This window comes from Homo sapiens, chromosome 5, assembly GCF_000001405.40.
Source record: "Homo sapiens chromosome 5, GRCh38.p14 Primary Assembly".
NCBI classification, from domain to species: Eukaryota; Metazoa; Chordata; class Mammalia; order Primates; family Hominidae; genus Homo; species Homo sapiens.
In genome coordinates this window covers 173,109,783-173,121,857 of record NC_000005.10, presented here as the reverse complement: position 1 = coordinate 173,121,857, position 12,075 = coordinate 173,109,783, and the positions used below count along the sequence as shown (strand labels likewise).

The 12,075-nt window shown below is 39.6% G+C and overlaps 1 protein-coding gene across 6 annotated transcripts in view; it reads right to left on the bottom strand.

Annotated features, from left to right (window-relative positions):
• The window catches only part of CREBRF (CREB3 regulatory factor), an 82,933-nt gene that overhangs the window by 17,427 nt on the left and 53,431 nt on the right, over positions 1-12,075 (bottom strand). For all 6 annotated transcript variants that reach the window (XM_005265821.4, NM_153607.3, XM_011534442.2 and 3 more), the window contains 2 exons: positions 11,147-11,336; positions 9,479-9,552 (listed from right to left, as the gene is read on the bottom strand). In XM_005265821.4, coding sequence (XP_005265878.1) covers positions 9,479-9,552; positions 11,147-11,336 — 264 coding nt within the window. The remainder of the gene's footprint in view (positions 1-9,478; positions 9,553-11,146; positions 11,337-12,075) is intronic.

Below are 12,075 nucleotides of genomic sequence, written 5' to 3'. Positions count from 1 at the left end.
CAAGGAAAAAAGACAACACACTGTAGACATGCATCGATGTCCACTAACCTGTAAGCAACTTGCCCTACTTGTCTTCATTGCTTTAAGACCTGATAGTGCCTGCTATATCGAATCACAGGACCTTAGTAAATGTTTATTAAATAAATCAAACCAAGTCCCTCAAAAACAAAAGCTTTAAAAACAGATTTCCCCACCTTGAAAAGCTTTAAAACAAAACAGAACAAAAAGCAAGTTAAGGCCAGGCGTGGTGGCTCACACCTGTAATCCCAGCACTTTGGGAGGCCAAGGCGGGCGGATCACGGGGTCAGGAGATAGAGACCAACCTGGCTAACACGGTGAAACCCTGTCTCTACTAAAAATACAAAAAATTAGTTGGGCGTGGTGGCAGGTGCCTGTAGTCCCAGCTACTCAGGAGGCTGAGGCAGGAGAATAGCATGAACTCAGGAGGCGGAGCTTGCAGTGAGCCGAGACTGCGCCACTGCACTCCAGCCTGGACAACAGAGCAAGACTCCAACTCAAAAAAAAAAAAGCAAGTTAACTCAAAGTAAGTAAAGGAGGGAAATAATAAAGAGCAGAAATGTATGTAACAGAAAATATACAATAAGGAAAATTAACAAAGCCAAAAGCTGGTTCCTTGAAATGATCAATAACACTGACAACCCCCTACCCAGGTAGATCCATCATGAAAAATAAGAGACAACACCAATCACTCATATCAGTAACGAAAAAGGTGTTGTTATCACTTTAGAATCTACAGATATTAAAAGGATAATAAGAAAATATGGTGCTAACAAATTTAACAACTTGGGTGAAATGAACAAATTTCTTGAAAACACAATTTAAAATCCACATAAGAAGCCAGGAAGGCCGGACGCGGTGGCTCGTGCCTGTAATCCCAGTACTTTGGGAGGCTGAGGCGGGTGAATCACCCCAGATCAGAAGTTCAAGACCAGCCTAGCCAACATGACGAAACCCCATGTCTAATAAAATATAAAAATTAGCTGGGCTTGGTGGCAGGTGCCTGTAATCCCAGCTACTCAGGAGGCTGAGGCAAGAAAATCGCTTGAAGCTGGGAGGCGGAGGTTACAGTGAGCTGTGATTGCACCACTGCACTCCAGCCTGGGCAACAAGCAAGACTCCATCTCAAAAAAAAAAAAAAAAAAAAAAAAAAAAAGAGGCTCAGGCACGGTGGCTCACATCTGTAATCCCAGCACTTTGGGAGGCCGAGATGGGTGGATCACTTGAGGCCAGGTGTTCCAGACCAGCCTGGCCAACACAGTGAAACCCCATCTATACTAAAAATAAAAATAATTAGCCAGGCATGGTGGTGTATGCCTGTAATCCCAGCTACTCAGGAGACTGAGGCATGAGAATTGCTTGAACCCGGGAGGCAGAGGTTGCAGTGAGCTGAGATCGTGCCACTGCACTCCAGCCTGAGCAACAGAGTGAGATACTGTCTCAAAAAAAAAAAAGAAAGAAAGAAAGAAAAAGAAAATCCATACAAGAAGAAATAAAGCATCTGAATAGCTTTTTCTAGTAAAAGAATTGAAATTACCAAGTATCTTCCCCAAAAAAAGAACCCAGAAGGTTTTAATAGCAAATTCTATCATAGATACAATGAAGAAATAAAATTGATCTTATAAAACTTTGTCAAACAAAAAAGAAAGAGAGATCATGGTCCAATTAATTCTATAAGGCCAGTATAGCCCTGGTACTAAAACCTTTTAAAAAAAAGAAAATAAAAATCATAGACCAATATTCCTCTTGAATGTAGACACAAAATCCTTAACAAAGCATTAACAATGGAATCCAACATATAATATTAGAATAGAATAATATGAAATATTAGCAATAGATTCCAATATAAAAAGGAAGATATATCATAACCAAGTAGCGTTTATTCCAAGAATGCAAGGTTGGCTTAACATCCAAATATTAACAAATGTAATTTGCCACTTTAACAGATGAATATGTGATGTATTAACAGAATAAAAGAGAACAATACATGATTGTTCCAATAGATGCAAAAAAATCATCAACACCCATTCATAATAAACAAAACTAGAAATAGCAGGAAATTTTCTCAAAATGATAAAGGGCATCTCATCTACAAAAAAGTACAACACAAACATCATACCTAAAGATAAAAGGTTTCCCCTGAGATTGTAAACAAGGCAATCACCACTCTATTTAATATTGTGGCTGTTCTAGACATTTTGATAAGGCAGAAAAACAAAAGCCATAAAGATCAGAAAGGAATAAATAAAACCATTCCTATTTGCAGATGATGACTGTGTCAGCAGAAAATCCCAGGGAATCTACATACCTACTACTGGAACTAAGAGTAATACACAAAAATATGTTTTATATATTAATACCAAAGAACTCAAATATAAAATTTCAAAAGCAATTCCATTTACAGAAGCACTAAAAAACATAAAATACTCAGGACTACATCTAATAAAAGATGTTCAAGCACTCTACACTGAACACTGTAAAAGATGACAGAGAGAAACTAAAGAAGACTTAGCTAGGTAGAGAGAGATACCAGGTCCATGGATCGGAAAACTCCATTTTAAGATAGTAATTCTCTCTAAATAGATCTAAAGATTCAAAGCAATCCCAATTAAAATTCCAGTAAGCTTTTCTGTAAAAGATGATAAAGTAATTTGAAAATCTATATAGACATGCAAAAGACCTGTAATAGCCAAAACAGATTTAAACAAAAAGAGCAAAATTGGAGGTCTAACAAGAACTAGCCCTACCTGACTTAAAGATTTACAGTAATCAAGACAGTTCTGTACAGTGATCAAGACAATTTTCTATCTACATGACTGGGTGCAATGGCTCATGCCTGTAATCCCAGCTCTTTGGGAGGCCAAGATGGGATGATCGCTTGAGCCCAGGAGTTCGAGGCAAGACAGCGAGACCCCATCTATGTTTTTTTTTAATCTTTTTTTCTTTTTTAAAAATAATTTTAAATAGAGACAAGGGTCTCACTATGTTGGCCAGGTTGGTCTTGAACTCTTGGCCTCAAGCAATACTCCCAATTGACCTCCCAAAGTGCTAGGATTACAGGCATGAGCCACCATGCCCAGCCCTGTCTCTATTTAAAAAAAAAAAAAAAAGTTTTGTATCCACATAAAGGAAGATAAATGTATCAATGAAACAGAATACAATATCTAGAAGTAAACCCATAAATATGTGGTCTATTGACTGAACAAAGGTGCAAAAACAATTCAATGGGGAAGGGAAAGTCTTTTCAATGTATGGTGCCTGATCAACCAGATATTTATATGGGAAAATATGAACATCATCTTTTACCTTATACCATATGCAAAAATTGACCTAAAAAAGATCATAAGCCTAAATGCAAAACCTAAAACTACGTAAATGCTAAGAAAAAAAAAATACAAGAAAAGATTTGTAAATGCTGGAGTTGGCAAAGGTTTCTTACAACACAAAACATCATGAAATATTAAAAAAACTGACAAATTGATTCATCAAAATTAAAAATGTTTGATCTTTGAAAGATGCCAGTGAGGGCCAGGCATGGTGGCTCATGCCTGTAATCCCATCCAGCACTTTGGGAGGCCGAGGCGGGTGGATCACTTGAGGCCAGGAGTTCGAAACCAGCCTGGCCAACATGGCATAACCCTGTCTCTACTAAAATTACAAAAATCAGGCCAGGCACCGTGGCTCACGCCTGTAATCCCAGCACTTTGGGAGGCCGAGGCAGGCGGATCATAAGGTCAGGAGATCGAGACCATCCTGGCTAACATGGTGAAACCCTGTCTCTACTAAAAATACAAAAAAATTAGCTGGGCGTGGTGGCAGACTCCTGTAGTCCCAGCTACTTGGGAGGCTGAGGCAGGATAATGGCGTGAACCCAGGAGATGGAGCTTGCAGTGAGCCAAGATTGCGCCACTGCACTCCAGCCTGGGCAACAGAGTGAGACTTCGTCTCAAAAAAAAAAAAAATCAGTCAGGTGTGGTGGTGCACACCTGTAATCCCAGCTACTTGGGAGGCTGAGGCACGAGAATCGCTTGAACCTGGGAGGCAGAGGTTGCAGTGAGCTGAGATCGCACCACTGGACTCCAGCCTGGACAACAGAGCGAGGAAAGACAAGAAAGATAGAAAGATGGAAGGAGAGGGAGGGAAGAGGAGGAGAGAGAGAGAGAGAGAAAAAGAAAGAGAGAGAGAGAGAGAGAGGAGAGAAGGAGGGAGGGAGGGAGTGAGGGAGGGAGGGAGGGATGGAAGGAAGGAAGGAAGGAAGGAGGGAGGGAGGGAGGGAGGGAGGAAGAGGGGAGGGGAAGGGAAGAGGAGAGGGGAGGGGAGGGAAGGGAAGGCAAAAAGGAAAGGAAAAAGGAAAAGGAAAGGAAAAGATGCCAATGAGGAAAGCAAAAAGCCAAGCCAAAGAACTTATATCCAGAATAAAGAACGTTTATTTATTTACTTACTTATTTTTTTTTTTTTTTGAGACAGAGTTTCACTCTTGTTGCCCAGGCTGGAGTGCAATGGCACAATCTCAGCTCACTGCACCCATACCTCCCGGGTTTAAGTGATTCTCCTCCCTCAGCCTCACGAGTAGCTAGGATTACAGGTGCTCACCACCAAGCCTGGCTAATTTTTTGTATTTTTAGTAGAAATGGGATTTCACTATGTTGGCCAGGCTGGTCTCGAACTCCTGACCTCGGGTGATTGACCCATATCAGCCTCCCAAAGTGCTAAGATTACAGGTATGAGCCACTGCGACCGGCCCAGAATAAAGAACCTTTAGAAGAGAAACCAATTTTTTTAAATGGCAAAATATTTGAACAGACACTTCACAAAAGAAAACATATGAACAGCCAATAAGCACAGGAAAGAGGCTCAATGTTATTAATCAGAGAAATGAAAAGTTAAGACCACAATGAGATACCATCACACACCCATTAGATTTGTAAAAATAAGAATATAGGCCTTGCCATATGTTGGCAAGGCTGTGGACCAACTAGAACCCTCCTACACTGTTTTTAAGAATGCAAAATGGCACAGTCAGTTGGGAAAACAGTTTAGCAGTTTCTTATAGAAGTAAATATACACTTATCTTATGAATCAATCATTCTACATCTAGGTATTTAACCAAGAGAAATTAAAACATATGTCTACCCAAATACTTGTACACAAATACTCATAGCCCCGTGGTTATAGCCAAAAACTTGAAACAACCTAAGTATCCATCAAAAGGTGAAGAGATAAACAAATTGTAGTACATCCATACAATGGAATACTAGTTAGCAATAAAAAGGATCTAACTATTGATACAGGTAACAACATGGAGGAATTTTTAAATAATTATGCTGAGTGAAAGTAGCCAGGCAAAAATGTAAACATATTGTGATTCCATCAATGTAAGATCTTAGAAAAATGTAAATTACTCTATAGTGACAGAAAGCAGATTGAGGCTATCCAGGGATAGGAGTGGAGAGCAGAATGACTTACAAAGGGGCACTAGGAATCTTTTGGAGGTAATGGAAATATTCATTATCTTGATTGTTTCACATATGTATGCGTATATGTAAACCAATCGAATTATACTCTTTCAATGTGTAGGTACTGTACTTCAATTATACCTCGGTAAAGCTGTAAGGAAAACACATTTTTTATTTCAGCACACAGGATTCCTACAGTCTGAAATTAATCTCTACCTCTTCAGAGACTGCCTTGGTGATTTGAGGTTTTTGTTCTGTTTTTAAAGAGATGGGGTATTTCTCTATCATCCAGGCTAGTCTCAAACAATCCTCCCACCTCAGCCTCCTGAGTAACTGGGATTACAGAAGCATGCCACAATGCCTGGTGTAAAAACCAGTGATTTGTTATTCTTCATCTAGCAATACTGAGAAGGGGCCAATCTAAACTGCAGTTGAAGAGGAAAGTGAGAGGGACAATTTAAAACTACATTCAGGGGCCGGGCGCGGTGGCTCATGCCTGTAATCCCAGCACTTTGGGAGGCCGAGGCGGGCGGATCACGAGGTCAGGAGATCAAGACCATCCTGGCTAATACGGTGAAACACCATCTCTACTAAAAATACAAAAAAATAAAATTAGCCGGGCGTGGTGGCGGGTGCCTGTAGTCCCAGCTACTGGGAGGCGGAGCTTGCAGTGAGCTGAGATTGCACCACTGCACTCCAGCTTGGGCGACAGAGCGAGACTCCGTCTCAAAAAAAAAACAAAGCAAAACTACATTCAGGGCCAATATATGTAAAATGTGTCACTGAACAAGGAAGTAGAGCTAACCTCCTATATCACTTGAAACAAAAAATCTATGTTTCTTCTCCATGAATAATTGAAAGAGAAGACTACTTACTCAAGGATATTTGCATAAAGGCTAGACTTAGGGAAAACAATGGGGTTCTCCCATATTCAACAGGTTAAAAGTAAATAAAGTTACTTTTAAAAGAGAAAACACAGTCAGACACAGTGGCTCATGCCTGTAATCCCAGCACTTTGGGAGGCCGAGGCAGGCAGATTACCTGAGGTCGGGAGTTCGACACCAGCCTGACCAACATGAAGAAACCCTGTCTCTACTAAAAATACAAAATTAGCCAGGAGTAGTGGTGCATGCCTGTAATCCTAGCTACTCGGGAGGCTTAAGGCAACAGAATCGCTTGAACCCAGGAGGCAGAGGTTGCGGTGAGCCGAGATCGCGCCATTGCACTCCAGCCCGGGCAACAAGAGTGAAACTCTGTCTCAAAAAAAAAAAAAAAGAAAAAGAAAAGAAAAAGAAAAAACACTATAAAATCTAAAGTAAAACTGAGCAGAATAGTTCTTCTCAAGCCTTGACAGTGTCCAAACACATTACGGGGCAGGGAGAGAAAAGGGAAAGGGCTCTCATGCTACCGCAAACCTCTGGTTTAGAAAATAGAAGCACCTGGCTCTCAGAAATTGAGTCCAAACATTCAACTCATAAACAGATCCTCCTCCTCTGATGCCATATTCATCAAGGGATTTTCTGGTTTTAATGTTTCCATATAGCTTTCCTTAGGGACAAAATACGTCAGTCAGAGTGAAGAGCTAACAGTTCTATTTCTCATTCTGAGTCAACAAGTTTCCACAGGATTCACACAGCAGTCTCCAGTGAGCTTTGTCAGGAGGAATCAATAGAAGGAAGTTTGGTGGGATAGGATGAGATGAGTAGTATAGTGGGCCCCTGAAGCTAGTCCCTGGAACAATGCCAGTTCATGACATATTAAAAATGATAAAGACAACAGAGTACATTTTTCATAAAGCTAAATTTATTTTCTATTATGAGATTATGCCCTTCTCAAATTTTTAATACTAAAATATCCTTCCTTATATGAAATTATAGTAATAGTAGATGATGTTCTTTTTATTGTTCTCACTTGGCAAAATATAAAGTTGGTAAGCCTATGTTCTCAAGTCTCAAAATATTTTTCAAATTGTAAATCACAAATTCTAGAAACTATTGGGCTGATAGGTAATGGATAATAAGTGTTCCACAAAGAAGTAACAGAGTGACTTCCAGATATCTAGGAGGCGGCCAGGGCACCACTAACAGAGCTCAAGGCCAAAATGTTTCAATAGTAAGAAAGAACAATAGGAAAATGGATAGCTTTGCATTTCAACACACCAACAATTATTTTATCTAATTCATTTACTGAGTGGCTATTAAATAAAACATTAAGTTCATTTCATAAGTTGAAAACTTTACAGTTGGAAATTCTTTTTCTGCCCTCACCAAAGGAAACAAAATAATCAAGATAAAAGATTAAGAAAATCTGCACAGTTTATTGAACACCTATGTGCCAGACATGCTAAACTTAAGAAAACCTCTAGAAACAAATAATTGGTCATTGTTCACACTGTTTCACTTTCAGATTCAACTTGCCCAAAAGAACTACACATCGAAGAGGACAATTTTTGAGGCAAAGGAATACACTCTTATAACACCAGGCTTAAACAAAATAAGGGAGAAAGGAGGTGTTCTTATCACAGAAGATCAAAACCAGAGCTTCCCATACCCCTGAAGTGCTGTAAAAGGGTTCTAGATGTGTAAGATAATTATCCCCTCAGCTCATGGGGACCTCCTCCCATGAGCAGCCTACTCTTGTTATATTCCGTGATGCCTCAGAGATGATAATTTTCTACATGTGCTACAATGTGAAATGCTGAGAAGCACTTTGGTTTAGATCAAAGCCAGTAGTTCCTGAATAAGTGCTAGAATGGTTCCATTAAGAATAATCTTGGGCCCGGGTGCAGTGACTCATGCCTGTAATCTCAGCACTTTGGGAGGCCTAGGCAGGTGGATCACCTGAGGTCAGGAGTTCGAAACCAGCCTTGCCAACGTGGTGAAACACTGTCTCTACTAAAAATACAAAAATTAGCAAGGTGTGGTGCGTGGGCCTGTAGTCCCAGCTATTCAGGAGGCTGAGGCAAGAGAACTGCTTGAACCTGGGAAGCAGAGGTTGCAGTGAGCCGAGATCGTGCCACTGCACTCCATCCTGGGCAACAGGGCGAGACTCCGTCTCAAAAAGAAGAAAAAAAAAAAAAGAATAATCTTGGCTGGGTGCAGCGGCTCATGCCTGTAATCCCAGCACTTTGGGAGGTTGAGGTGGGCAGATTGCTTGAGCCCACAAAATTGGGACCAGCCTGGGCAACACAGTAGAAACTCCACCTCTATGAAAAATGCAAAAAATCAGCCAGGCGTGGTAGTGCACTCCTGTATTCCCAGATACCCAGGAGGCTGCAGTGGGAGGATCACCTGAGCCCAGAAGGTGGAGGCTGCAGTGAGCTGTGATCAAACTACTGCACTCTAGCCTGGGCAACAGAGTAAGATCCTGTCTCACACACACAAAAAGAGAATGATCTGAGAAGTGTTAAAAATATGGATTCTTGAGTTCTACTTGTACACAATCTAATTCAGAAGATCTGCAGAGAAGCCTAGAAATGTGTATTTTAACCAAGTACACAGACAATTCCAATGAGCAATCAAATCTGAAAAACACAGGTCTGAATTATTCATACGAAGCCTAAAATATCATTATTCAATTTAGGGAAAATATTAAAATCAGTCAACAAAACTGGCTAATCCAGTAACACAATTATAAAATAGAAGAAATTATTGTGATCTTTCGAGAAGTGCAGGTTGTTTTTGCTGCCTATTCTTAATTTACTTGTAAAACTTTTCACATCTTTTATAGAAAAAAATAAACAAATTATCATGGTCACAATGTGGATCAGCTTGTTAGTGTAAAGATGAGATGTGGATTGGGAAGTCAGCAGTACAGAAACTTATATTAAAAGGTGGACAAGACTGAAGGAAAGTGAGCATGTGGCTTACTGAACAGATAAACAAATAGGAGGCTAGCCAAAAACTAGGCAGAATACAGCGAAAGCAAATCACAAACCAAAGAAAAGAGAGAGTGGTCAGCAAATCAATAGGTGGTTAATCAACTTCTTAAAACTTTAGGTTTACCATATTCTGTGTTGAGGCCCCATAATTTCACTTTATTAGCTTCATACTGGGCTTTCTTCTTTAACCGACAAGCTCTGTGAAAGGAAGGAGCAGTTAGTTCACTTTCTTTTTCTTAATTTTAATTTTATTATTTTTAATTACGGAGAAGGGGTCTCGCTATGTTGCCCAGGCTACTCTCCAACTCCTAGCTGCAAGTGATCCTCCCTTTTTGGCCTCCTAAAGTGCTGGGATTATAGGCATGAGGCACCATGCCCAGCCTGCTTTCTTTTTTAAGTGAATTTTCATCTTTCATTTTCTAATAGCAATCCAAAACTGCTGCCTACTGACATTTAACAAATAACTGAGTTACCAGAAAACACAACATAATCATTTATGCAAATTGATTTTTAAAAATTTAGCACACATTTAAAAATAAAGCTATATCAGCACACACCTATTAAAGTGGCTAAAAAACAAAAATAAAAACAAACAAAAACTGATAATACCAAAAGTTGTACAGGATGTGAAGCAAGTGGAACCCTCATGTGTTGCTAGCAGGAAAGTAAAACAGCACATATAGCTACTTTGGAGAATAGTTTGGCAGTTTCTTATAAGCATATATGCTTGGATATTTATCTAAGAGAAATGGAAATATATTCACACAAACATTTGTAAGTGAACATTGATGGTGGTTTTATTCAAAATTGCCAAAAACTGGAGGCAACCCAAATGCCCTTCAACTGGTGAATGGATAAACTGTAGTATATCCCCACCCAAAGGAATACAACTCAGCAACCAAAAGGAACAAATTATTACTCCAGGCAACAATATGGATGAATCTCAAATGTGTCATGTTGAGTGAAAGAATACAGATTCAGCTGGGCGCACTGGCTCACGCCTGTAATCCCAGCACTTTGGGAGGCCTGGGCAACATGGTGAAACCCCATCTCTACAAAAAATACAAAAATTAGCTGGGCATGGTGGGTCACATCTATAATCCCAGCTACTTAGGGGGCTGAGGCGGGAAGATCCCTTGAGCCCTGGAGGCAGAGGTTGCAGTGAGCTGAGATCAGGCCACTGCCTGTGTGACAGAGTGAGACTCTGTCTCAAAAAAAAAAAGGAAGACAGGTTCAATCAAAGGCTACATACATACAGTATATTCCATGTACATGACATTCTGGAAAAGGCAAAACTACGGAGACAGAAAACAGATCAGTAGTTTTGAGGGGCGATGGGTGCAGGAAGGGGTTTGCTTTTACAAAGAGACATAAGGAAACTTTTTAAGATGATGAAAATGTTCAATATCTTGATTGTGGTGGTGGTTGTATGATTGGATATGTTTGTCAAAACTCATAAAAGTATACATTAAAAGGTATACATTTTACTATAAGTTATAGCTCAATAACTCTGACTTACTAAAAAAGCAAACAAAAAATAAAGCTATGAAAAAATTTTTTATTGTTATACAACATAATGCACCAGAGTCCATTCATCTCTCCCCTCTTAAAAACTTTTTCCATAAAACAAAAATACCGTCTTCTACTTTCAAAAGAAAAATTATAATATTCTCATTGTAGTATTTATACAAGAAAAATACAATTTCTTTGTTGTCCTTCTATAAAAACTCACTTAGGGACTAACCTCACCTCCTAAACTTTCTTCACATGAGTGAACATTATTAGCATTTACCTGGAAGCCAGCTTATTTTTTTCCTTCCTTGACCTTGGTCGGGCTGTTAAGGGAAGCTCACTGACTGGAGTCAGGTCACTAATCACCTTATTCAGTTTCCGAAGTTCATTGCCTATCTGGAGGAGTTTTTTAGGATTTGGAGTCAGGTCTTCTACATCAGTTCTCCGTGACTTCTTTACTGCATATTTTCCTATAAACAGTTTAAAAGAAGTTTAAGTCAGATCACTTTAATTAACAAGAGACACGTTTTTCACGGCCACATTTTTAACCACTTCCCACCACTACCTTTTCTTTTCAGAAGTCTTGGCATGTTTCAGAAGTCTTAGCATGTTTAACAATCTATCCTAGAAGGGCTGGCCTCCTCTCCTTCCCATCTTGTGGCTGCAGGAAATGGGGGTGATATGGCAGAGTTCTAACTTTTTCCAAGTTCTTCCCTACCCTAGGCTTCTAGTTCCAGCATGACAGATTCTTCATTATTTGCATGGCATACTAAGCATCTCAAATCTCAGGATGAGTATGAGTTCAACTAAACACCAAAATCAGGACTAGGGTATAATACATAGTCGGAAGAGAGCTTGGAGATTTTACACAAACCAAGATGTTTCTGATGCTACGTCTGAAAACTGTCAGACATACACATTTTTGTATTGAACTTGAAAATCCAACAAGTAAGCATAACCTTGTTTAAAAGCTCTTCTTTTGTTGCTTTGATAAATAACATTATAGAAGACTCAAGGGGTCTTGGTCTATCACTCCAGGCAAAAGGGATGGCTCTGTCCTCTGAACTCCTACAACTTTCCTAGTATTCATATGCTACTTGGGATTATTGACTGGACTTAATGTTTCATTTCTAGTAGAAAACTTATCTGAAGGCAAAAGCTTGGTAATTATTTACTGAGAGACAATATAGTACACCTGGTTGCTAGTGG